Below are 25307 nucleotides of genomic sequence, written 5' to 3'. Positions count from 1 at the left end.
CCATCATCGAAGCTGGAGTGCAGTGGCACAATCTTGGTTCACTGTAGCCTCGACCTCCAAAGTTCAAGCAATCCTCATACCTCAGCCTCTGGAGTGTTGGGACTACAGGCACATGCCACCACCACCAGCTAATTATTTTGGTAGAGAAGGAGTCTGTGTGTTGCCCAGGCTGGTCTGGAACTCCCGGGCTCAAATGATCCTCTAGCCTGGACCTCCAAAAGTGCAGGGATTAAAAGTGTGAACCACCATGCCCAGCAGAAGACGTTTTTTAAAAAAGAAAAATTGAGGCCGGGCACGGTGGCTCACGCCTGTAATACCAGCACTTTGGGAGGCTGAGGCAGGAGGATCACAAGGTCAGGAGATCAAGACCATCCTGGCTAACATGGTGAAACCCCATCTCTACTAAAAATATACAAAAAAATGGCCAGGCACGGTGGCTCACACCTGTAGTCCCAGCACTTTGGGAGGTCAAGGCAGGCAGATCATGAGGTCAGGAGATCAAGACCGTCCTGGCTAACGAGGTGAAACACGTCTCTACTAAAAAATACAAAAAAAATTAGCCGGGCATGGTGGCAGGCGCCTGTAGTCCCAGCTACTCAGAGGCTGAGGCAGAAGAATGGCATGAACCTGGGAGGCAGAACTTGCAGTGAGCCGAGATCACACCACTGCACTCCAGCCTGGGCAACAGAACGAGACTCCATCTCAAAAAAAAAAAAAAAAGGAAAAGAAAAATTGCAAAGGGGAGACTAGCCCTTCCAGACATTAAAACCTAGATGAAATAAATATTAATCAATGTGACCATATAAAAATGTAAGCAAAGTAAAACTTTGCCATAGGAAAGAAAATAACACAAAGTCAAATGGCAATTCACAAAGAAAATATTTCCATCTCACAAATAACAGGTTAATATTCCCAATATGTGAGAAACTCAGATTAAGAAGAAAAAATACCAAGAACCCAATCGAAAAAATGGGCACATAATTCATAAATAGATCCTGAAACATATGAAAAGTTTGACCTCACTCATGATTAGAGAAATGCAAATTAAAATGACAGAGATACATTTCTCACACTGCATTGAAAGGTATGACAACACAATCTGCTGTCGAGGCTATAGGTAATGGGCACTGTCATACACTGCTGGTGGGAATGTCCTTCTGGAAGGACATCGGACACTAAGAAAAATCAATGCCTGGCCAGGCGCCGTGGCTCACACCTGTAATGCCAGCACTTTGGGAGGCCGAGGCAGGAGGATCACCTGAGGTCAGGAGTTTGAGACCAGCCTAGCCAACATGGTAAAACCCTGTCTCTAATAAAAATTCAAAAAATTAGCTGGGCATGGTGGCATGCACCTGTAGTCCCAGCTACTCAGGAGACAGAGGCCGGAGAACAGCTTGGGCCCGGGAGGCGGAGGCCGGAGAACAGCTTGGGCCCGGGAGGCGGAGGCCGGAGAACAGCTTGGGCCCAGAGACGTTCAACACGTCTGTGTGATACCACAGGTAGTTCTCCCAACCAATCAGGACATGTTACTTCGCCTCACACCAGATTACATTCAACCCCATTGGATGGCAAAGGCTGTCTTTCCTAAGCCTGCAAATGACTTGTATGTCAACAGACCAATTTCTCTTACTTTGTCCGCAATTCACCACACACACACCAGGCTAAAGGATGTATATTTAATGAGACAGTGACAGCAGCATTGTTACAACTGGGCATCCCTCAGGCCAGCCTGGTCCCATGCTGTGGGACCACCCATGTGTGGTCTTCCACAAGGTGCTGGCGGCACCGGGCTCTTCCTGCTGTGCCACAGACCCACAGAAAGAACCATACGTGATTCCGTTTACCGGCTGTGTCACCCAGAAGGGGCAGGTGGGGGAGATGCTGGGTGGCAGGTAAAAATAAAAGGGGCCCAACCCTTTGTCCAGCAAATACCAGCACAGTTTTTCTATGGACACAGTGATTTGTAACTTGAATAATGTGAAGTTGATTACACAGATTTCGGAATGGCTAATATCCATATGACAGAAATGTGATGCATTCATGAGACGTGTGCAGACTTTGGGGTGTTGGGAAACAGCATTTGGCCTTTAACCTCCTCCTCAGCCCCAAAGAGGAAGGGGAAACAGGACAGGAACCCACACTGTTGATCCAACCTCACATCACATTCTCTGAAGGACTCCGACATGTTCCCTGCTCACCGTTCCACCTGAGGTAGGTCAGGACCCCTGCCCCCATTTTCCAGATGGGGAAACCGAGGCAGAGCAGACAATAAGAACCTTGCCTAAAGCCACCACAGTGGGGAGTGGACACCATCCCCTTCCTGATGCCGGAGGACAAAGAGGAGACCCTGCCGTCTCTCCCACTCCTGGAATGAGCCAGTGAGCCAGGTGGCCTTTCTGCTGACTGAGGTGTCTCCTCTTGGGTTTCCTGGTCAAAGGGGACCAATAACCAAGCAGTGGCATTCTCTGCCCTCTGCCCACCGTGTGCCAACCATGTGCACCAACAGCCAAGCACAGTCCAGGGTGTGGGGGAAAAGGACAGACAGGAGCACCCCCACTGCCCAAGGCAGAAGGCTGGGAAGCCACGTCCTGACACGTCCTCTCCTGAGGCCCCTCGTGGACCGCAGGATCTGTAAAGTGCAAACACCAAAGCCAAGTGTCCCCTCACCCAGAGCTGTAGGTTTCCTCTGCTGCCCAGGGGCCTCTGTCCCGTGGAGTGAGGGACCTCCCACACGCCTGCCCTGATCTTCCTGAATGTGCTCAGTCGAGCGAATACTCTCAGCTCTCTTGACCTCAGGCCCCCAAACAAAAGGCCATTGGCTGGTCATTTCTGAGCTATCTGGAGCCCTCCACAGGGAGCAGGACAGAGCTCCTCAGGTAAATCTGGTTCCAAGAAATGCCACCAGACCACTGCAGGATCCCATCGCCTAACTGGAACCTCCCCCAGCACACAGCCCCTGCTGCACACCTGGAGGCCAGGACACCCTCCTCAGGCTGGGGCCACAGCCTCCTAGCTTGGAGCACCAGGAAAGGTGGGCTGGGCCAAAGCAGGAGCACCCAGCAGGGAAAAGCTCCATGGCCCCTTCCCTGCTGTTGTATAGAAACAACAGGTGACCCCACTGTACTGACCATCCGATGAGGCCTTTGAACCTCAGGCCAGGGAGAGGCAGGTCTGCAGGTGACAACTGTGAACAGTCCCAGCTGGGGACAACCAGAAATCCCCAAGGCCACGAGTGGCTGAAAGGGATGGAGCCCCCAGGCAGAGCCGACACCCCACCGCAGGTGAGACTCGGCCCTTGGCTGAGTGTGTGCAGCCGCATCCTCAGGTGTCACTCAACACTCCTCTGAAGCTCTGTCCGGGTCTTGGCCTGATGAGCTTCCAGGGTGGCCAGGACGGGAGCTGTGGAATTTCTAGGGCCCGGATGCCCTGGTCCAGGGGTGTGGAGGGCTCTGTGCCATGGGGGAGGTGAGATGTCCCCCCAGCTCCCTGCCCATGGAGTTCTGCATTGGGGGAAGGATGGGGGCCACGCAAGGACCCCTCACAGCAGCACACCCAGGTGACAGCCAGGTGCAGCCGCCCCGAGTCCCAGCAAGCACCTGGGAGACAGCGGGCCTTGACACTGCCCACCCGCTCTGGCCCAGCAGGGGTGGAGGGGGCCAGGGCCGCACCCCAGGGGTCTCCGGAGCAGAAGGAACAACTTGATGTTGGCAGGGTGGGTCCTGGCGGGCCAGGCGGGGTGCCCAGCACTGTTCCTCGGCGCTAGGCCTCCACATCGGGACCTGGCTCCTGGAAGAGCGACTGCTTCCTCAGGCTGAGCCGGGCACACTTGGGACAAGTGGTGGAGTTGTCGTAGTAGCAGTCCCTGGGGGCAGAAAGAGGTCGGGGCTCTCTGCACAGGAAACTCCAGCACTGAATCCCCCCAAGCGTCCTAGGTCAGCTCCTATCATCCCCTCTACAGCCGTTACCAAAGGGCAGAGTCGGAGTCTGCAGCCAGATGCAAGTGACTGTATGGCCGTGTGCAGAGCGCTTACGGGCGTGCAGATGTGGACCTCCAGGGGTCCTCACGCTACCTGCTATCCCCCAACCACACAGGTCCCAGTTCACACAGCTGAGGGGCTGAGCCAGGTGGCCACGCCAGACTCGACTCAGAGCCCTTCCTCACGATTCCCACCTGTTCCTATCCCTCCCCTGGCTCCCAAACTGTACATCACGGCACCCTGGGGCACCGCAGCCTAGTTCAAACTTTTAAACAGAACGTAGCAGTAATTAACACCTGTCAGACACTGAGCAAACGACTAGCTCGAGCGAGTTCAGTCTCAACCTTAGTTTCTGCCACAGTCCCATCTGTGTGACACCATCGCTCTGTAGAGCTGGGATTTCAGCAGTTGCTATGAAAAATAGCAAATTCCAGGCAAAAATCAGGGGACAGAAACTGGGGGGGAGTGTCCATCTGATTCCAGGTCTGGAAGATGTGTGAGGCCCAAAAGGTGTACCCATATCATTAGTAAGTAATCATACTTACTGAAGAATGAAATTAAAATATTTTTCTTCTAATTTGTGTACATTATTTTTCCAAGAGCCACTCAATCTTTAGGATACAAATACTTATAAAGTTGTTTGAACATAAGTATTTTTCCCTGTTGGTCTAGCGGCTAGGAAAAAAAACGCGAGAGCATAAGTACTTAATAAATCAAAGTGTTAGGAATTTCTTCTGGCTTAGAAACACTTTGAAAAAATTACTGAGACATTAAAGGGTGGCAGGAACTATAGGTTTGGGAATCTCTAGCCTATACTAACCCTGAAAGAGTGACTTCAATCCTAGTAGAGAAAGGGAGCAGCTGGGATGCTGTGAACACATCAGAGACCAAGCTGGAGTTTCAGGGGCTGGTCCGGGAGGGACCTGGGAAGGGGCAGCCCCCTCATCCCCCAGGTGCCGCTCCTAAGGGAACTTCTCATTTAGTCACAGACATCAGGGTCTGACTTCATATCTCAGGGTCAGCAAAGACCCAAAGAGTCTTTATGTCTCCCCTTTCTCGGGGGAGCAGTGCCAGCTCCCACGGCATCATCCTACCGGAGGCCAAGGGGCAGCTCCCCAGAGGACAGCGCAGAGCCCCAGCCCCCGAGTGCGGGGCCCAGGCCACACCCACCTGTGGAAGACCGCGGAGCAGTCGGCGCACACAGACGTGTGGCTGTCGAACGGGAACAGCACGTCGCCCTCTCTGCAGAGCTCACACACGAAGCCCTTGGCCTGGCACCGCTGGGGGGAACAGTGTGGGGTTGGGGCACGGGCACGTCAGTGCCAGCTCCTCTGGGCACTCTGAGGCCAGGGACACACTGGGCTGGGCTGCTTCTCCTGCCAATCCCCCCTCAGGGCTGGGGTTGGAGAAGAGCGGCCCTCGGGCAGAGGCCCACCTCGCAGTCCAGCTTGATGTGCTTGGCGAAGAGCGTGTGGATCTCGGTGAGCGAGCAGCCCAGGCGGCCGGCATGCACGTCCAGGAGGTCCTGGACAGAGTACATCTCGTCGTTCTCCACAAAATGCTGCCGATCCTGGAGCTGCCAAGTCCCAGCAGCCGTGACGCCCTGCACCGGGGAGGGCCCCTCCCACCGCCCACCCATGGTCGCTGCAGTGGTCAGGGCCCAGGTGCTCACAGAGAAACGAGCTACACAAGGGTCTGGGCCCCAGGAGTAGAATCCAGGAGCCCCAGGAAGCCGACAGGGGAAGATGGACCCGGGCCACGTTTCCTGACCTGTGTAGCCCCCCGCCCTCCACTCCCTAAGGCAGCCCCTCCCAGCCACACCGCATCCCCGCACTCCCCACGCTTCCCACATTCCCCACCCTTCCTTCTCTATCTTGTCACAGAGTTCACCACCCCAGCACACAACGTATTTTTCTTGTCTTCCCTACTTGAAAGGCACTAAGGGCAAGCATTCCTGTCTGTTTCGTTCACTGTTCCAGAATCTAGAACATCTGTATCTGTTGAGCACATAATTAGATGAACCTTGAAAACTGTGTTTTGTGGTCAACCTGCCTGACGAGGGCTGGGCTGGACCCACCCCATGGAGATTCACATAAGGGCTGCAGGGTTTGCCAAACGGAACTGACTGGAGAACTCTTTTGTAGGCAGAACACCTGTTTGCTTTGTTCCTTGGGACCGTGGTGAGGCGACCCTCTGCTAAAGGCACTCCACGCACAAGCTGTCCGGAAAAAACCTGAGCCTGAGGTGCCTCACCACCCTGGCTGCGCTTCCCATCGGGGGCCAGTCCTGCTGGCAGTCTGACCTGCAGCAGCAGACGAGCCTCCATGGCCTCCCTGCAGGTGATGAAGTACGGCTTCATGAGCAGGATGTCCTGGCGCAGCTTCTGCAAACAAGGCGGGAGCAGGCAGGCCTCCTCAGCCAGGACACAGGGCGGCCCCTGTGTGGGCCGCACACCCGGGGCCACGGCAGGGCCAGGAGGGGTTGGTTCCCCACGAAGGGCCGAGATCTGAGTGCTTCACCAAAACCCAAAATCACAGCTCCCAGGCTGGGCAGGACCGTGAGGCTCACTTACCGTGGTCCAGAAAACCCTCCCTTCCCTCTGCCCTCACCCGGCCCCACAGGCACACAACTGTCTAGGAACCAGCAGCCTCAGGACCAAGCCAAACTTCCGGAGAAATCCCAGCTGCCTCCCCAGCCCTGGCCTTGGCAACTCAACGTGCTGCCACAGTCTCCTCCCGGGTAAAATGGGACCTGCCTCCTTTCACTACCTGGCGTGAGACGCCATCATGTCCTGCCAGGACTGCAGCTCCCGTCTGCCCTCGGCTCCCGCCCTACCTCCTCCCTCACCGCTGGCTAAGAGAGTGGCCACCAGCCCTGCACAGCCACAGAGCACCTCAAAGTGGCCGCTGTGCAGTGAGACTTAGCAGAGGCTACATGCTGGAGCCAAAGACGTGGCACAAAAAAGAAAAAGAAAGCAAATATCTCAAAAATGTACATTGATTTCATGTTGAAATAACATTTTGGATATATTGGGCTAAATAAAATATACTATTAACATTAACTTCACTTGTTTCTTTTTACTTTTTTTTGAGACAGAGTTTCGCTCTTGTTGCCCAGGCTGGAGTGCAGTGACGCGATCTCGGCTCACAGCAACCTCAGCCTCCCGGGTTCAAGTGATTCTCCTGCCTCAGCCTCCCGAGTAGCTGGGATACAGGCACACACCACCATGCCCGGCCAATTTTGTATTTTTAGTAGAGATGGGGTTTCACCATGTTGGTCAGGCTGGTCTCAAACTCCCGACCTCAAGTGATCCACCCACCTCAGCCTCCCAAGTGCTGGGATTACAGGTGTGAGCACCGTGCCCAGCTCTTTTTACTTTTTTAACGTGGCTATTACAAAATTTAATATTGTGTTCACACCTGGCATCAGATCACTACGGGACACCGCTCCAGCACCTTCAACCAAAAGGGCAGCCGCGGCGCCTGGCTCACCCTAAGCAGGTGGCCTCCCTCCTCTGCTCAGAACCTCCCGTGGCCCAGAGGAGAAGAGGGTACTGGCCCGGCCCTAGGGCCCACCTGACACAGCGCCCCCGCCCCCCACTTCCATGGCCCCAGCCTCACGCGAATCTCCACCAGCTCCTCCACGTAGCTGAACAGCAGAGGGTTGATCTCCCGGAGCCTGAGTACGGGCCGAGACACCATCAGCGCCAGGTAGCGCATGCTGCAGCGAGAAACCTGCCAGGCACGGCCGGGTGACACCTCTCACACCCACCCAGGGCCCGTGCAGCGGGCAACACCCAACCAGGGGTACACCGGCTCCACACCCCAACCCCCTTCCTGCTCTCCCTCCCCAGGGGGATGCCCCCACCTTCCAACCCCCACCTTTCGAGGCTCAAAGTCCCAGTTGTGTACAACGCGTGCAGGGATCACAGCCAGGTCGTTCCAGTGGCAGTGGCTGCAGTAGTACTGGCCGGTGTAGTCGCACTGCCTGGCCTCACTGGGCACACCCCCTGCAGGGTCAGAGGGGCCCTGAGTGTCCCTGCCTCACAAAAACCCCACACAGCTTTCCAGCCTCATGGTCTGTCCTCCCATGGACCACAGCCCTCGGGGAGACATGGGAACATGTCCTATCCTCAGCCGGAAGACCTCAGGTGGTCCCAGCGTCTCACTGACCTGTTCTCTTATCAGTAAAATGGGATATAAACAGGGCCTCACTGTAGGACCGAGGCAGGGACTTCATGAATTAACACCAGCAACTCTCTAGAAAGAAGAGCTGACGCGCACATGTGCACAACTGGGCGACAACCGTGTACTCTCCCTAGACCCCGTCTATGAGGCTTTCTGTGCTGTGTGACTTCTCCCTAGTCCTCATCTATGAGGCTTTCACACGGGGAGGCGGAGGCCAGGTCCCAGCCCTCCAGGTGCTCCTCAGTGACCTGGGTGAGTCACGGAACGGCTGGAACCTCAGTCTGCTTCAGTGAGAAATGAAACAATGGCAGCAACAGACCCTTGTCACTTCCTAAAGATATCAAGCAGGCACTGCCCCAGGGCCTCACTCAACTGTCTGACTTACGTGCCCTTACACACCTGTGCACCCGGCTCCCCGCCAGGAACAGCTCCCTCACCCTCTTCTCTCCCTGCCACCACTCACGCAGAGAGATGGGCGCCCGGCACTCGGCACAGCGGTAATCCTGGCTGTCCAGCCCTGTCTCAGGGCAGATGTTCAGTTCGTATTCAGCTTGGTGGCTGACTTTGGAGCTCACACAGGGCTTGGAGATGAGGTTCAAGCACTTACTGTGACAGCGGTAATAACACCCTAGGGTGGAGGGACACACACTTCTCAAAAGCGGGAAGGGTGCGCCTGCAGCCCAGGCCACCCTCAGCTGGCTTGCCCCCTCCCCGTGGGTTCCACTCTGAGGCCCAGATCAATCTAAGACCTCCTGGCACCAAGGGAGGCCTTAGAACCTCAAAGATCCTTTTCTCCCTGGCCCCTGAGCCTTGCCCCAAAGGTGGCCCAGACCTTGTCCTCCAACTTGACTCACATGTTTGGGGCCAACCTGCCACTCCCACCACCAGACCCAACCTGTCCAAATGTAACAAACGAAACTCCCACCCCCGACCCCAAGCCCCTCAGCTTCCCCATCTCGGTTTCAGCAGCTCCACCCTTTCAATATCATGAGTTATCCTGAAGGGTTTCTCTCTCTCTGTTTTTGTTGTTGTTGTTTTTGTACTTTTTAAGAGACAGGGTCTTGCTCTTTTGCCCAGGCTGGAGTGTAGTCGTGCAATCAGAGCTCACTGCAGCCTCAGACTCCAGGGCCCAAGCGATCCTCCCATCTTTGCACTGGAAAACCCTAGGATTACAGGCGTGAGCCACCGCACTCAGTCAGACTATTTTCTAATCTGTTACATTCCGTTTCCAAACCTTCAGCTGGACTGCCCTTAGCGACTCCTCACTCCCACCACCTACCCCAGCCCAATCAGAGTCATCCCCCTCTTCTCAGTCACCTCCCTCTCAGTCCAAGCTCAGTCAGCAGCCACAGTAACCTATTAAAGCTCAAGTATGTCCAGCACCCACTTGTGGCCCCCACTGCACTTAAAGAAAAGCCCCAGCCACCTCTGAGCCCACCTCCCCCAGAAACAGAACTGCAGCCCCACCTGGCTCTCTGCTCCTCCTTATATCAACCACAGGGCTGCCCCCACCGGAACATTCCTCCAGACACAGAGCTGCAGCCACACCTGGCTCTCTGCTCCTCCTTATATCAACCACAGCACTGTCCCCACCGGAACAGTCCTCCAGACACAAAGCTGCAGCCACACCTGGCTCTCTGCTCCTCCTTAAGGCACTGGACACATCAACCACAGGGCTGCCCCCACCAGAACATTCCTCCAGACATATTGTCTTGGCTTGCTCCCTGACCTTCAAGTTTTTGCTTAAAAGTCACGTGACGCCGGCTGGGCGTGGTGGCTCACGCCTGTAATCCCAGCACTTTGGGAGGCCGAGGTGGACGGAACACAAGATCAGGAGATAGAGACCATCCTGGCTAACACGGTGAAACCCCGTCTCTACTAAAAAAAATACAAAAAATTAGCCGGGCGTGGTGGCGGGCACCTGTAGTCCCAGCTACTCAGGAGGCTGAGGCAGGAGAACGGTGTGAACCCGGGAGGTGGAGCTTGCAGTGAGCTGAGATTGCACCACTGCACTCCAGCCTGGGCGATTGAGTGAGACTCCGTCTCAAAAACAAAACCAAACCAAAAACAAACAAAAACAAAAAACAAAGTCACGTGATGCCTTTACATTCTGCCCTAAAGTCACATTCACTCCACCCTAACACGTGCTAGGTCCTTTCCCTTTTTCTTCATTGTACAAACTAGACACACCATGTAATTCACTAGTTTAATTTCTCATCCAGAACAGCCCTGTCCAATGTAGACAGTACAACGAGGAAATGCATATTTAGTTAATTTAACTTTGACTGGCCATGTTTGGCTAGTGGCCACCACACTGGATAGCTCACATCTGAATGTGAGCCCAGCGGAGGCAGGAACTTTGGTCTCTCTCATTCCTCACTCCTCGTCTGGGTCTCGGCCCACCTGTGCAGGTGTACCAGGTCTGAATGAGCCCCCAGATGATGGTGTTACACTTGTCACAGGTCTGCTTGACGCTCTTGCTCTTCTCCTTGTAAAAGCGGTGCTCAAGGAGCACTCGGATGTTTGGCTCATCCTCATTGGGGTCCTGCAGAGGGTGAGTCAGGGAGGGGGTCACAGGTGAGCTGGGCTGAAGTTCCTTTCCCTTCGCACAAGCCCCTCAACTTATTTCTTCCAGGCACCATTTAGGGCAGAGATTGTGAGTTTCAGCACAATGCCATGTCCCTTTTCTCCCTTTCACAGTAAACAATGATCAGCTGGACAAGGACCGCCAAGGTCACATGCTACCTTTCCCAGCATCCCTTGCGACCTTTCCCAGCATCCCTTGCAGCGAGGGGCTGTGTGGGATTGCACCGGGCCATGGGCATGTGAGCGGGAGCGACCCGGCCTCTCTGCCCCTCCTGCTTTTTGCCGGTTAGGTGCAGGGCAATGGAAAAGGAGGCCCTCCCCAACACCATTAGCTGTCATAGAGGCCCCAGACCACCTATGGGATTTTTACGTGAGGAAACGAACACATCTTCTCTAAGCCACTATGTTTTGGGGTTTTTTTTTCTTACCACCAATTTACCTGTTTCCTCATGAATATTCTACTTTCTACATTCCCAGGGATACCTGAATCAGCACAGGGGACACAGGGCAGCCAGGCCAAAGCACACACAGACCCAAGGACTGCATCAGGAACATCTGTGGCCTGGGACCCACCACCTTCTTTTGTTGTCACCTTCAAGACACCACCCGTCCTTGTCCATGTGGCTCACTCAGGGAGGAACTTACTTAGCCCACCCGCTTGCTTCAGTGGGTGGGCACACAGCCCAGAACTAGCCAATCGGCCACCGTCATTGGGTCAGTGGGCGGGCACACAGCCCAGAACTAGCCAATCGGCCACTGTCATTGGGTCAGGGGTGGGCACATGACCCAGAACTGGCCAGTCAGCCACTGTCATCCGGTCAGGACTGGCCAATGAAAGTCAGGCCTGAGGTTCCTGCTATAACCACTGTGAAAAGGCAGCTGTCATCTGCACAGGGAGGCTCAGCTCCTGGAAAGCAAGATGTGGTTGCCGGGACCGTCTCTGCCACCGCACAGGGAAGGCCTGCCTGAGGCTGGATCAGACACAGGAAGTCGAGTTGGAAGAGAGCAAGATTCCTGACACTGGAGGATCTTCCAGTCACCAAGCAAATACATTTTTCTTTTTGGCTTAAGCTACTCAGGGTTGAGTTTCTGTTCCTTGCAACAGGAGGGTCTAGGCTAATAGGGAAACCTCCCGCAGTGGGGTGAGGGCCCGTCTTCCACCCTGCCTGTCTCGTGCCCTTCTACCTCAGCCCCTGAGGCCGAGAGAGAGACCACCGCCTGAGAGAGAGCCAGAGGCTGGCAGGGTCCTCCTAGTTCCACAGTTCTGGCCTCGGCCCCAGGCTGCCCCACGGCGGGGCGGCCCCACACCCACCTTCAGCTCCTGGAGCTTCAGCCGGAGGTGGATGAGTCGCACCACGGCATCCTTCTGCTTCTCCGACTGCTCGGGCAGCTCCAGAATCACCTGCTTGCACTCCTCGATCGCCTGCCGCAGCTGCTGGACGTCAGAGGCCAGGAACAGACCCTGCCCAGGTTGGGGGCGGGGGCAGTCAAAGGCCCATCCTGCAGGAGCTCCCTGTTAAGGCCCATCCGCCGAGACAGGCCCAGAGCAGACCCCGACACCCCTCACCCAGAGAAGGAAACTCAACCCAGAGGGCACCGAGGACTTGCTCCAGGGCAGGAAAGGTGGCAGCACGGTCAAGGTCCACCCGGTGCTGCGTGCTCCTAGCCTGACCTGCCTGCCCACAGACCTCTGAAAACCTAATGTTTGAAAGTTGCTTTTCAAAAGACAACTTCCTTCTTTGAGAAATCCAGATGCTTTTTTGTTATGTCACTTCACTTCCTTCTGAAGAGCTTCCTCTTGGAGGAAAGCTAGGGAAAGGACATTTGCTGTCATGAAGGACAGTAAGTGGCCTCGAGCTTGACTGCCAAGCCCAAGCACATGCCGAGAGCCAGCCCCAGCACTTCTGGTTGCTTTCGCCACATAGCGACCAGGGGGCTCACGGCCCAGCAAGGCCCCAGACTCAGAACACTCTGGGGATCCCGGGGAAGACAGGATCAGGTCTCAGTGCTGGGGAGCCTGGACCCCGCCCTCAGGAGCCATCCTCCTCCTCCAGGCTGCTGGGCTCTGAGACCCAGGCAAAGGGGAGGTGGCACCCTCCCCTCCCCCTTGCAGCTCAGCCTGTGGCCCAAAGGAAGTGCTCAAAATGTTGTAATATACAAAACAAGCTGAGTGCAGTGGGTCACACCTATAATGCTAGCACTTTGGGAGGCCGAGGTGGGTGGATCACTTGAGCTCAGGAGCTTTAGACTAGCCTGGGCAACAGAGCGAGACCCCGTGTCTATAAAAAAAAAATGAAAAATTATCTGAGCATTGTAGTGCACACCTGTAGTCTCAGCTAATCAGGAAGCTGAGGTGGGAGGATCGCTTGGGCTCAGGAGGTCGAGGCTGCAGTGAGCCATGATTGCGCCACTGCACTTCACAGCGGGGGCAACAGAGCGAGACCTTATCTCAAGAAAAAGGAAAAAAAATAAGATACGAAACAAATATATGAAGTCTCTCCCTCTTTTTTTTTTTTTCAGACGGAGTCTCTGTCGCCCAGGCTGGAGTGCAGCGGCACGATCTCGGCTCACTGCAACCTCCACCTCCCGGGTTCAAGCGATTCTCCTGCCTCAGCCTCCTGAGTAGCTGGGACTACAGGGGCGCTCCACTATGCCCGGCTAAATTTTTTTTTGTATTTTTAGTAGAGACGGGGTTTCAGCATGTTGGTCAGGCTGGTCTCGAACTCCTGACCTCACGATCCGCCCGCCTCGGCCTCCCAAAGTGCTGGATTACAGGCGTGAGCCACCACGTCTGGCCCAAATCCTTTCAAAGTTACATTTGAATGTTGCCGTAATGTTTCCCTCAAAAGTTGGAGATGGTTTGCATAAAAATAAAAGGTTTTCAAACTTTTTTTTTCTTTGAGACGGAGTCTCACTCTGTCACCCAGGCTGGAGTGCAGTGGCGCAGTCTCGGCTCACTGCAAACTCTGCCTCCTAGGTTCACATCATTCTCCTACCTCAGCCTCCCGAGTAGCTGGGACTACAGGCATGTGCCACCACGCCCGGCTGATTTTTTGCATTTTTTAGTAGAGACGGGGTTTCACCGTGTTAGCCAGGATGGTCTCCATCTCCTGACCTCGTGATCCGCCCGCCTCAGCCTCCCAAAGTGCTGGGATTACAGGCGTGAGCCACCGCGCCCGGCCTCAAACTTTTTTAAAAAAATCATTATATCCTCCCCCTTTTCTTCTTCAACACAAGGCTTCCATGGAACAAAACACGGAACAAACAAGAGTGGCCCTGTAATACCGACTGGTCAGTACGAGGCAGACAAGGGGCTTCCCCTTGCCTCCCACACCCTGACTCTCGGCAAGTGTACAGGACCTCAAGGACCCCAGAGGGAATCTATTCTCTGCACATTTGCTTCATGAAGACATGGAGCTCAGGGGACAGAAGCAGCCCCAGGTTCATGAACCCCAATCCCAGGCTCTCTCCACCTGCCTTCACTCAGGCTCTGAGGGTGGGGGTCTGTGGTGTCATGCAGGCCTCAGATTCGAAGCCAGGAGCCCTGGCTGAGGTGGGGGCTGCTGAGCCTGACAATGGAGTGAGACTGTACCCCAGCTCACAGGACACTGCCCTGCCACCTGGGAGGGAGTGACAAGGAAACCCTGGCCCTTCCTGCCTTGGGGGTTCCCTCAGTCCCTCTCCCCTCCGAGATCTAAAACCTTACCACAGGGCGGGAGAAGTGGTCCTCAGACAGGCCGAGATCCATCACGCGTTCAGGGCAGCGGAATTCCGGCTCCCCAGGGGGCAGCTCAGGCAGGGCCTCTGGAGGAAGACGGGGACAGGTGTGGAGCGTCAGCTGCTACCTCCTGCCTCCCATCCCCTAGGGAGGAGCTGAGATAGCCAGGAGTGGGAAAGGGATTCAGGAAGCCGCACAGAAAGGAGGCACCGTGAGAGCTGGGCACCACTCAGATCTGCACACCGTCCAGTCTGCATTCACAGAGGAGCCCACAGCCTTGTGTAGACAGGAAAGAGCCACTCAAAATGAGGAGGTGGAATGACACTCGGTGCCAAAAGTCCTCAAGACAGCATTATAGAGACATCCCATTTCTAAGGTGGACACCTCATGCGTGACCACGGGGGCGAGAGAAAAACCACTGCATGGCTACACAGCAAAATCCACGAACCCCAGTGTCGACTCCAGGCCGTCTCTGCAGCTGCCCCGCTCCAAGCACTCCCTGATGACCTCATCTGCAGTTTCTAAAGCTCATGCCACCCTGACGCCCAGAGCACGTTCCCTCGGCTAACCTCTCCCTTACCAGGTCTCAGCGCTGACCGCACTCAGCAAGTGTTCCCTGAGCACCTACTATGTGCTGGGCCCTAGGATGCAGCAGTGATGGGTCAGGCACAAATCTTGCCCTCAGGAATGTGAATTCTAGTGGGGACACAGAAACAAACCACACGACCACAGAAGAGATGGGAAAAAGAACACAGCCAGCAGGTGCCGGCTCCGTGGGAAAGCCAGGGCTGCGCAGGACGCGGCAGGAAGAAAGGAGGGGTCCACGTAAGCAGTCAGAGACCTGCCCAGCTCCCACCCTGACTCCCACCAGCACCCACCTTCAGGAGTGACGTCCGGGACCTCCTCCCCAGGGCCCTGCTCATGCTGTCTCGGCCCAGACTGCTTGTTGAAGGGGTTGAGGTGGGCCTGCCGGAAACGGGCCAGCTTCTCATCATATTCCATAGCATCCCACCTGAGGGCCAGGCAGGGCCAGGATGAGTCCCCAGGTACCAGGCTCACCACGGACCACCCCCTTTCCCCAACCACACTGGGGTGTCTGGGGTGAGGCTGGCCTCTTTCACTTCCCTAAAGTGGGTAGTCCTCACACCACAGCCTTGATCTTCAGCCTTTTCCTGAAACACCTCAGCTGCCTCCTGCCCAGGCCCCCACTGGTGGCGTCCCCTTGGAAAGAGCTCACGGTGACAATGAGGGTCCCACGAGGGCACGTGGCCCATCTGAGGGGCCCAAGCTCCCTGCCTCCCAGCACAGGGTCCTCTTGCCCAATGTTGCAGAGCTCCAGCCCTAGAGCTACCTATGGGATCCTCTCTGGGCCTCAGCCCCAGATACTCACTCAGCCCCGCTCTAGCTTGCTATCCACCTGCTATGTGAGACACACCTCTCAGAAATGGGTTCCTCCTTCCTGGGCCCCAAGCAAAGGTGCTTTCTTGTCAGAGCACCCTGAAACCACAGCCCCTGTCTCAGGACTTAGGGTTGGACACTTGGGGACAGTTCCAGGGCCCATTCCTGCTCTGCCACAGGTGAGTGAGCAGGGCCCACCTTCCCCATGCCCAGGAGCAGGGGATCTTGGGAGGATTCCCTGCCAGCACACAGAGAAGCCCCCTACAAATGCATCCAGGCTCTCTGGCCTGGGTTCTGATCCTGTGATGAGCAACACGACCTGAACCAGGCCCACGGCTCTGTGCCTCAGGAACCCAGGAAACAGGCCGGAAGGGCCTAGTTCTCCACGTGGCAGAAGCTCAGGATCAAGAATTGCTCTTTCCCCACCCGGAGGCTCAGAACACTGCAGAACACACAGGGCTGATGGCTCCTGGCAGGGAGGAAGGGACTTTGGTTGGGGTGGGAGTAGAGGCAGTTGGCATCCAGCCCTCCCACTTAACTTCCTGGGCCACATTCCTTAGCCTCTCTGCCTCCATTTCCCCATCCGTAATGGGCCATTGTGAGGGTGAAATGAGTTAACAGAGACTGAGCACAAAGTAAGCTCGCTGTAAGGTCTGTTGATGTTATAGAAAGTCGGAGATGTCTTTTTAAAGTTGTTCAGTAACTGCAACAGTGTTAGTTATGCTTTCACTACACCTGCTACAGTGTTAGTTATGCTTTCACTACACCTGCTACAGTCTGAAATAATTCACAATTATAATAATCAATCCTATGATTTATCCTCTGTCTCTTCTCCCAAAAGAAAGAGAGCTGAGCCCAGAGGGGACGGCCCTGCTCAGGGTCACACTGTGGCCTGGAAGAACTGGGATTTGAACTAATTGCCTCACTGGCAGTGGGATAAGGAGGCCACCCCAACCCCACATGGCTGCCCTGCAACTGGGCAAGACTCCACACCACCTATGGGGCCTGTCCTGCCTGTTGTGCCTGTGGGGCAGGAGTGTGGGTTGGGCACCTGCACGCCAGCCTGAAAGGACAAAGCACCCATGGACAGGCTGCCCGTGGACCCCAACAGGGAGGCACGGGGAAGACACAGGGAACGTGAGTGGGCCCCAGTCCCACCTCCTTCTCTTATTACCTGATGACTGTGGGTGGGTCACAGAGTCAGAGGCGGCCACCCGATGCCAGCACCTCCCCAGTCTCCCAGGGAGCACCCAGGACACAGGAGAAATCAGGCCATCCCAACATCACTCCTCCTTCTTCCTGAATGAGGAGCCTCATTTTTGTTTGTCACATAATTTCCCAGCCTCCCCAGCAGCTAGACCTGGTAAAGTGACTGTTCTGACCCCCTCGGCTTGAGAAGATCAGGCAGATCTGAGCAGCTCTGGGCTCCTGGCTTCACTGACATACCCAAGTGCTTAGCCCTTCCATCCACCCCAGGAAGTACGTGTTCTCCCTGATTTATAGGCAAGAAAAGGGAGAACCAGAGACTAAATCAGGGCTATCTGAAAACAACAGTAATGGGCCGGGCGTGGTAGCTCACACCTATAATCCCAGCACTCTGGAAGGCCAAGGCAGGAGGACGGCATCCGGCCAGGCCCAATGCAATGAGGCCCTATCTCTATTAAATTTTATACAAATATGGGCTGGGCGCCGTGGCTCACGCCTGTAATCCCAGCACATTGGGAGGCCGAGGCGGGCGGATCACCAGGTCAGGAGATCGAAACCATCCTGGCTAACACATTGAAACCCTGTCTCTACTAGAAATACAAAAAATTAGCCAGGTGTGGTGGCAGGCGCCTGTAGCCCCAGCTACTCGGGAGGCTGAGGCAGCAGAATAGCGTGAACCCAGGAAGCGGAGCTTGCAGTGAGCCGAGAACGCACCACTGCACTCCAGCCTGGGCAACAGAGCGAGACTCCATATCAAAAAAAAAAAAAATCTTTTTTACATAAATATGTATGTGTGTGTATATACATATATATGTGTGTGTGTGTATACATACATATGAGAAAAAAGAAAAGACTTCTGAGAATTGTCCTTAAAGGTAGGGGCTGCCCCTCTTCAGCCATCCCTGCCTCCTGCTGCCTGGAATGCAGATGTAAAGGCTGCAGCTGGAATAGCCACACTGGGGAGAGTGACGTGATTGCAGGGGACTGCACCTGAGCCCTAAGCTGCTCACAGCCAGACTTCATTCAAGTGAGAGAAATACGATATTCCCACCAGTGTTATAGGGGAGGTTTTTGTCTCTTGCGGCCAAAGTAGATTCTGACTGAAAGACCCAGCTCGGTGGCTCACGCCTGTAATCCCAGCACTTTGGGAAGCAGAAGTGGGCTGATCACCTGAGGTGAGCAGTTCGAGACCAGCCTGGCCAACCTGGTGAAACCCCGTCTCTACCAAAAATACAAAAATTAGCCGGGCGTGGTGGTGGGCATCTGTAATCCCAGCTACTTGGGAGGCTGAGGCAGGAGAATCGCTTGAACCCAGGAGGTGAGCCGAGATTGAGCCACTGCACTCCAGCTTGGGTGACAGAGTGAGACTCCATCTCAGAAAAAAAAAAAAGAAAAGATTCTGACTGATGATCCCAATAGTTTCATGGTAACAAGACAGACACGTCCAGCTTGAATCCCAACTCTGCTAGCTCCTAGCTGTGTGACCTTGGGTAAGTGGATAAACGTTTCTCTGCCTCCATTCTCCCATGTCTCAAATGGGGATTACAATAGTACCATACAGGGTTATTGTCAAGATTAAAGTAGTTAATACTAAGTTCAGAGAACACTGGCCGGCACATAGTAAGCACCCAATAAATATTGATTATAATTTATCATTATTACTTTTTTTTGAGACAGGGTGTTGCTCTGTCACCCGAGCTGGAGTGCAGTGGTGCGATCACAGCTCACTGCAGCCTCAAACTCCTGGGCTGAAGGGGTCCTCCCATATTAGCCTCCCAAGTAGCTGGAACTCCAGTGTGTGCCACCACACTCAGCTAATTTTTTTTAACTTTTTGTAGAGACGGAGTCTCACTCTGATGCCCAGGCTGGTCTCAAACTCCTGGCTTCAAGCAACCCTCCTGCCTCTGCCTCCCAAATTGCTGGGATTATAGGTGTGAGCTACCATGCCTGGCCTATTACTGTTATTTTTAAGAATCATGGCCGGTGTGTGGTGGCTCACTTTGGGAGGCTGAGGCGGGTGGATCATTTGAGGTCAAGAGTTCAAACCAGCCTGACCAACATGGTGAAACCCCGTCTGTACTAAAAACACAAACAAATTAGCTGGGCATGGTGGTGCATGCCTGTAATCCAGCTACTTGGGAAGCTGAGGCAGGAGAATCACTTGAACACGGGAGGTGGAGGTTGCAGTGAGCCGAGATTGTGCCACTGCACTCCAGCCTAGGCAACACAGCAAAACTCCATCTCAAAAAAAAAAAAAAAATCAGCCCTGATTTAGACTCTGGTTCTCCATTGTCTTGCCTATAAATCAGGGGGAACACCTACTTTCTGGGGTGGATGGAAGGGCTAAGGACTTGTTTATGATGTCAGTGAAGCCAGGAGCCCAGAGCTGCTCAGAACAGACTGGCACTGTCATCACATATGGTGACCAGCCCAGGAAAAAGGTGCAGGAGCTACGCCTGGGGAAGCCGCTGGAAACCTCCTGGTGTTTAAAACATGGCCAGAGGAGCGTCAAGGAAGGCACGCTGGCAGGGACACCTCCGTTCTGCCCAGCAGCTGTACTCTAGGCTACCAGCTCTCCTCCGGGCTGTGAAAAAAGGCATCTTTTATTTGCCTATTTACTGACAGTCAGTGCCAGCCCCAGGCCTGGCGCACGGGCAGGGGATGAATGAGGGGAGGCCGCTGGCCTCGCAGCCTTAGCTTCTGCTCACACAGACCTGGGGATGCCGGCCACAGTGGCCGACTCTGAGCAGAACGCCAGCCTGCCCCTCTCACCAGGCTCACCCCACCAGTTCTGCACCCAGATGTGGGACTTGGCCTCAGAAAGGAGCGGGCAGGAAGTGGAAGAGTGAAAGCAAGAGGTCTGGCCACCCCCTGCCCCTCCTCTAGAGCCCACTGCTCTCATCGGGGAGGACCCCACAACTTAGCAATGAAAGGAAGCCGAAGAAAGCCGGCGGGGTTCCGGGGCACGGAGGGACCCTGGGCCGAAGCTCAGGACACGCGGGATGCACGGACCTGGCCTCCCGCGTCCTGCCCGCGGCGTGACCACCAGGAAGCGGTGTCATCACTGCAGCTGCCACCCCGAGAACCTGAGAAGTCACCCCGGTGTGCGGAGTCAACAGCGTCCTGTCTGCCCATACCTGCATCGCCTGCCAGGGCCCAGGGGCTCGCAGGGACAGGATGGCCATTCCTCTAGGGCTGCTGGCCACGGAAGCCTGGCCGTGGGTTCGGCACCTGCTGCAGGGAGAAGCCACCCCAGCACTGTGCCTCCCCACCCACCACACCCGCGGGAGCTCGCCCGGTCTCCCGGGCTCCTCGGGGGCAGGTCTCTCCCACCCACCCGTTCCACCGAGGGGGAAACTGAGGCTCGGAGCAGCCCAGGGCGGGGGCACGGCCACGCGGGTCCCCTGAGCCGCCCGGGTGCTCCGCACGCAGCTGGTGTGGACGCCGGAGCAGCGGCGGCGTCCCCGGGGTGGGGCGGCCGAGGTCTCGAGGCCCCTGCGCCGGGCGGGCCGCCCTCCCAGCCCCGTCCCCGCCGGCCCCGACCTCGCCGGCCCCGTCCCCGCCGGCCCCGTCCCCGCCGGCCCCGTCCCTCCCAGCCCCGACCCCGCCGACCCCGTCCCCGCCGGCCCCGTCCCTCCCAGCCCCGACCCCGCCGGCCCCGTCCCCGCCGGCCCCGTCCCCGCCGGCCCCGTCCCTCCCAGCCCCGTCCCCGCCGACCCCGTCCCCGCCGGCCCCGTCCCTCCCAGCCCCGACCCCGCCGACCCCGTCCCCGCCGGCCCCGTCCCCGCCGGCCCCGTCCCCGCCGGCCCCGACCCCGCCGGCCCCGCGCCGCTCACCTGACCGCCGCCTCGCATCTGTCTCCCGGCTGCGCTGGATCCGCCCGGCCGCCCCGCTACGCTGGATCCAGCCCCGCGCTCGCTGCTGCCGCCTCCGGCGCGGAGGTTCATGGCACGCGGGTCGCGAGTCTGCGAGCCCCGGAGTCCGCCCGGCTGTTCCGCGGGCCTGACCTGGGGCTGCGCGTCCTGGGTTTCCTCTCATCGCAGAAGGCCTGTGGCTGAAACCCAAACCCCAACACGTTTAAAAAAAATGGGCGGGCGCGGCGGCTCACGCCTGTCATCCCAGCGCTTCGGGAGGCCGAGGCGGGCGGATCGCGAGGTCAGGAGATCGAGACCATCCTGGCTAACACGGTGAAACCCCGTCTCCACTAAAAATACGAAAAATTAGCCGGGCGCGGTGGCGGGCGCCTGTAGTCCCAGCTACGCGGGAGGCTGAGGCGGGAGAACGGCGTGAACCCGGGAGGCGGAGCTCGGAGTGAGCCGAGATCGCACCACTGCACTCCAGCCTGGGCGACAGAGCGAGACTCCGTCTCAAAAAAACAAAAAGGGTGGCTTTTAACACTTTTTTTAACCTCAGTGGTTGAGGAGGAAAAAGGAACAGAGAACCACCGTGTGCAGGTGCCGCCAGCCACCTGCAGGGCCCCGCGGGGGCTTCACGGCTGCAGAGGGAGGGACCCGGCGCGGCTCTACCCTCTTTACACAGGAGGACGCGCCACACTGCGCTCAGGAGGCTGCTCCATGCAGGCGCCGGGCAGCGGGACTTCGGAGGCAGCTGGTGTCCGCGGGCCCTGGCGTTATTCCTGCTTTCCCGTTGTTTACACACAGAGCAGGCCTGCTGCTCCCCGCCCCCGTATCCCTACTCTTAGGCTTCTCGCGTGGAAGATTCAGCTGCCCCCGCTTGTGCCCGCAGGGAGGAGCTGAGGACAGATGAAGGCCAGCATATGCGCCTGGTGCGCTTGCCCTGAGCTCGCGGGCTCAGTTTACCCTCCCTGCAGAAAGGTGTGGTTTTGGCTGCCTCTGGGGCTTGGTCCACTTTGTTCAGTGGGCATGGTGATGACAGTGCCAGTAACTGGAGGCCTCCCAAGTGGGAGCCACACACCACCTTGCAGAGACCAGCTCGGTCGGGGAGACCCTAACCCGGCAGCGCTAGAGGAACTAAAGACACACACACACAGAGATAGAGAGGTGTGGAGTGGGAAATCAGGGGTCTCACAGCCTTCAGAGCTGACAGCCTCGAACAGAGACTTACCCACGTATTTATTAACGGCAAACCAGTGATAAGCATTGTTTCTGTAGATATTAGACTAACTAAAAGTATCCCTTATGGGAAACGAAGGGATGGGCCAAGATAAAGGGATGGGTCTGGCTAGTTACCTGCAGCAGGAGCATGTCCTTAAGGCACAGATCGCTCACGCTATTGTTTGTGGCTTAAGAATGCCTTTAAGCAGTTTTCCGCCCTGGGTGGGCCAGGTGTTCCTTGCCCTCATTCTGGTAAACCCACGACCTTCCAGCGTGGGCGTCATGGCCGTCATGAACATGTCACAGTGCTGCAGAGATTTTGTTTATGGCCAGTTTTGGGACCAGTTTATGGCCAGGTTTTGGGGGGCGTGTTGCCAACACCATCTCATTTAACCCTACGGAAGCCTGGGGGCCAGCAGTCACCTACAGGACAGGCAACTCCATCGGCCCCCCCAAGGCCACATCGCTCAGAAAGGGTGCAGTGAGATTCCACCCCAGCTTAGGGTGGCTTCGGACGCCGTGTCCCTCCATGCACTCAGACCTGGAGGGAGACTGCCCTGAGCCGCCGCTCTATCTGCTGCTTCAAGGTCCCCAGTCCTAGAGATTCCACGTCCACCTGGCCTCTCTCCCAGCTCCTCCTTCTGGAAAGGCCTTCCCCATCTCAGCTCCCACCTGGGCCCCACAGTACATCCTCAGCCTGGCAGTGAGAGGGACCCTGGGAAGAAGTCGGCCCCCACCTTCACCTCCTGGCTCCTCTCCCCAACAGGCCAGGCCCACCCCCACCCCCACCTTCACCTCCTGGCTCGTCTCCCCAACAAGCCAGGCCCACCCCCACCGGGGCCCCTGCCTGGCTGAGCCTCTGTGGAGCAGTCCTCCCCAGTAACCCCAACACCTCCTCCTTGCCTCTGCTCAGCAGTCCTCAGTGATCTCTGGGAGGCAGGGCCCTTCCCCTCACTCACTCACCTTCTCCCTAATCACTCGTCACTGTCTGATGTCTTCGGTTTTGCACATTTTTCTTTATTATTTCTGCCCCCCAGCCCCAACCACCAGAAGCAAAGAGCCGTAGGCAGCATTTTGTTGGCCTTCTTTGCTGCTTAATGGCCAGTGCCTGGACACAGAGGGTGCTTCCTTGCATGGACTGAGAAAGGAATGGGTCCCCGGTTGAGGCTGGCCCTGAGAGGAAGGAGGTTCCTCCCAGCAGGTGGCCCACTGCCCAAATGCATGTTAGAACCGGTTGTGGATCTGAACCAGTGTCTACAGAAGCAATGGGAACCCTCCTCCAAGGAGAGACAAAGATAAACCCACACTCTACACGCAGTTTAAGGTCTACTTTCTTAATCAGAATGTGTTGGCCAGGCGCGGTGGCTCATGGCTGGAATCCCAGCACCTTGAGAGGCCGAGGTGGGAGGATTGCTTGAGCCCAGGAATTTGAGGCTGCAGTGACCCGCTGCACTCCAGCTTGGGTGACAGAGCAAGACCCTGTCTCTAAAAATAAATAAATAAGTAAATAAACATAGAGTGTGTCATGACCATCTCTATTCCTCTGTAGACATTCAACAACACATTTTTTTAATTTTTAAATTTTTATTTATTTTGGGACAGGGTCTCACTCTGTCACCCACGCTGGAGTGCAGCGGCTCAGTCTCACCTCACTGCAACCTCCACCTCCCAGGCTCAAGTGGTTCTACCAGTTCAGCCTCCTGAGTAGCCAGGATCACAGGCAAGCGCCGCCACCTGGCTAATTTTGTTTGTGTTTTTTGTAGAGACATTTGCCACATTGCCCAGGGTGGTCTTGGAATCCTGGACTCAAGTGATCCACCCACCTCAGCCTCACAGAGTGCTGGGATTGCAGGCGTGAGCTACCACGCCCGGCCCCATTTTATTCTTATTTTTTATTAAGAGACAAGATCTCAGTCTGGCTAAAGCACAGCGGCATGAGCACAGCTCCCTGCAGCCCCGAATGGCTGGGTTCAAGTGATCACCCAGGCTTAGCCTCCCAGAGTCCTGGGAGAATCTGCAGTTACAGATAATTTATATACTGGTTTAGAACATTTACTATTTTGTTTTCTTTTCTTTCAGATGGGGTTGCCCAGACTGGCCTCCATCTCCTGGGCTCAAATGATCCTCCCGCCTCAGGCCAAGTACCTGGGACCACAGGCATGCACCACCATGCCCAGCTAATTTTTGTATTTTTTATAGAGACAGGGTCTTGCCATGTTGCCCAGGCTGGTCTCCAACTCCTGAGCTCAAGTGATCTGCCCACCTCAGCCTCCCAAAATTCTAGGATTTCAGGCATGAGCCACCACAAACAAATTTATTGAGCACCAACTATATGCCATGCTCTGCTCAAAGCACTAGGACACTGTGGTGAGAAAACAGACAAGGTCCCATCACTCAAGGAACCAGACAAGCAAAGATGCAAACTAATCAGAGATGTGATGAGCACAAGGAAATAAACAGTTTGACGAGACGGTGACTGAGATCAGGGGAGGAAGATGCTTGAGCCAAGACTCAGGGGTCAGAAGGAGAGAACCACTGAAGAGTGGGAGGGGCATCCAGGTAGAAACCATGAGTGCAAGGTCCTTGAGGAACCGAAAGAGCCTCCTATGAATGAGGAACTGGAAGCAGGTCCATGTGGCTGGAGTTTAGTATGAGGTAAAGTGAGGGGAGAGGACCAGAGACGGGAGGCTATGAGCTAATGGTAAACACATTGGCTTTGATTTGTGGTAAGATGGAAGCCATTGGAAATTTCTTTCAGCATTTTTTTTTTTTTAAACAGGGTCTCACTCTGTCGCCCAGGCTGGAGTGCAGTGGCACAATCTCGGCTCACTGCAGCCTCAACCTCTTGGACTCAAGGGATCCTCCTGCCTCAGCCTCCCTAGTAGCCGGGGCTACACACACACGCCACCACACCTTCCTAATTTTTTTGTGGGGACAGGTGGGGGACGGAGTCTCGCTCTTTCACCAGGCTGGAGTGTAGAGGTGCGATCTCGGCTCACTGCAACCTCCGCCTTCCGGGTTCAAGCAATTCTTCTGCCTCAGCCTCCCAAGTAGCTGGGACTACAGGCATGTGCCACCACACCCAGCTAATTTTTGTATTTTTAGTAGAGACGGGGTTTCACCATGTTGGCCAGGATGGTCTCAATTTCTTGACCTCATG

General features: G+C 55.9%; 1 protein-coding gene and 1 non-coding gene across 30 annotated transcripts, besides 4 other annotated features; both read right to left on the bottom strand.

The window, feature by feature from the left end:
- Nucleotides 1-1662: 1662 nt before the first annotated feature.
- Nucleotides 1663-20968, bottom strand: DEF8 (differentially expressed in FDCP 8 homolog). 29 transcript variants are annotated; one of them, NM_001242820.2, is made up of 14 exons: nucleotides 20909-20968; nucleotides 20210-20306; nucleotides 19417-19656; nucleotides 15347-15480; nucleotides 14457-14554; nucleotides 12063-12212; nucleotides 10568-10709; nucleotides 8628-8792; nucleotides 7859-7986; nucleotides 7598-7711; nucleotides 6280-6360; nucleotides 5413-5553; nucleotides 5148-5257; nucleotides 1663-3862 (listed from the first exon to the last, which is right to left on the bottom strand). In NM_001242820.2, exons 4-14 carry the CDS (start codon nucleotides 15468-15470, stop codon nucleotides 3760-3762), a joined length of 1356 nt encoding a protein of 451 aa, NP_001229749.1. In that variant the 5' UTR covers nucleotides 15471-15480; nucleotides 19417-19656; nucleotides 20210-20306; nucleotides 20909-20968; the 3' UTR covers nucleotides 1663-3759. The 29 variants fall into 29 exon arrangements, with proteins under 29 accessions (NP_001229749.1, NP_997397.1, NP_001425885.1 ...); NM_207514.3 differs by lacking the exon at nucleotides 19417-19656 and having other exon boundaries at nucleotides 20085-20306; NM_001438956.1 differs by lacking the exon at nucleotides 19417-19656 and having other exon boundaries at nucleotides 5413-5502; nucleotides 20085-20306.
- Nucleotides 15611-15900: an enhancer, noted in NCBI's record as "active region_11430". NCBI's record gives its function as "activates an Ori minimal core promoter by ATAC-STARR-seq in GM12878 lymphoblastoid cells {active_cell/tissue: GM12878}" and the evidence as "EXISTENCE:reporter gene assay evidence [ECO:0000049][PMID:35858748]".
- On the bottom strand, nucleotides 16203-16346 carry SNORA119 (small nucleolar RNA, H/ACA box 119). The gene has a single exon (NR_145807.2). It is a non-coding gene; the product is annotated as a small nucleolar RNA, H/ACA box 119 (small nucleolar RNA).
- Nucleotides 20839-20938: a silencer, noted in NCBI's record as "silent region_7934". NCBI's record gives its function as "represses an Ori minimal core promoter by ATAC-STARR-seq in GM12878 lymphoblastoid cells {active_cell/tissue: GM12878}" and the evidence as "EXISTENCE:reporter gene assay evidence [ECO:0000049][PMID:35858748]".
- Nucleotides 21619-21958: an enhancer, noted in NCBI's record as "active region_11429". NCBI's record gives its function as "activates an Ori minimal core promoter by ATAC-STARR-seq in GM12878 lymphoblastoid cells {active_cell/tissue: GM12878}" and the evidence as "EXISTENCE:reporter gene assay evidence [ECO:0000049][PMID:35858748]".
- Nucleotides 24850-24899: an enhancer, noted in NCBI's record as "active region_11428". NCBI's record gives its function as "activates an Ori minimal core promoter by ATAC-STARR-seq in GM12878 lymphoblastoid cells {active_cell/tissue: GM12878}" and the evidence as "EXISTENCE:reporter gene assay evidence [ECO:0000049][PMID:35858748]".

This window comes from Homo sapiens, chromosome 16 (genome assembly GCF_000001405.40).
Source record: "Homo sapiens chromosome 16, GRCh38.p14 Primary Assembly".
In the NCBI taxonomy this organism is placed as follows: Eukaryota; Metazoa; Chordata; class Mammalia; order Primates; family Hominidae; genus Homo; species Homo sapiens.
The sequence above is the reverse complement of the archived record's forward strand: the minus strand, read 5'-3'. Positions and strand labels throughout refer to the sequence as shown.

What these genes read in the sequence shown, in the direction of transcription:
- DEF8 (XM_011523161.4), bottom strand. Translation starts at nt 20,257, where the DNA reads ATGGCCATCCTGTCCCTGCGAGCCCCTGGGCCCTGGCAGGCGATGCAG. An exon ending in CCGGGCGCCCATCTCTCTGC is followed by an intron (nt 7,987 to 8,627) that starts GTGAGTGGTGGC and finishes CTGACCCTGCAG; the next exon opens with GGGGTGTGCCCAGTGAGGCC. An exon ending in AGGAGCTGGTGGAGATTCGC is followed by an intron (nt 6,361 to 7,597) that starts GTGAGGCTGGGG and finishes CCTTGTTTGCAG; the next exon opens with AAGCTGCGCCAGGACATCCT.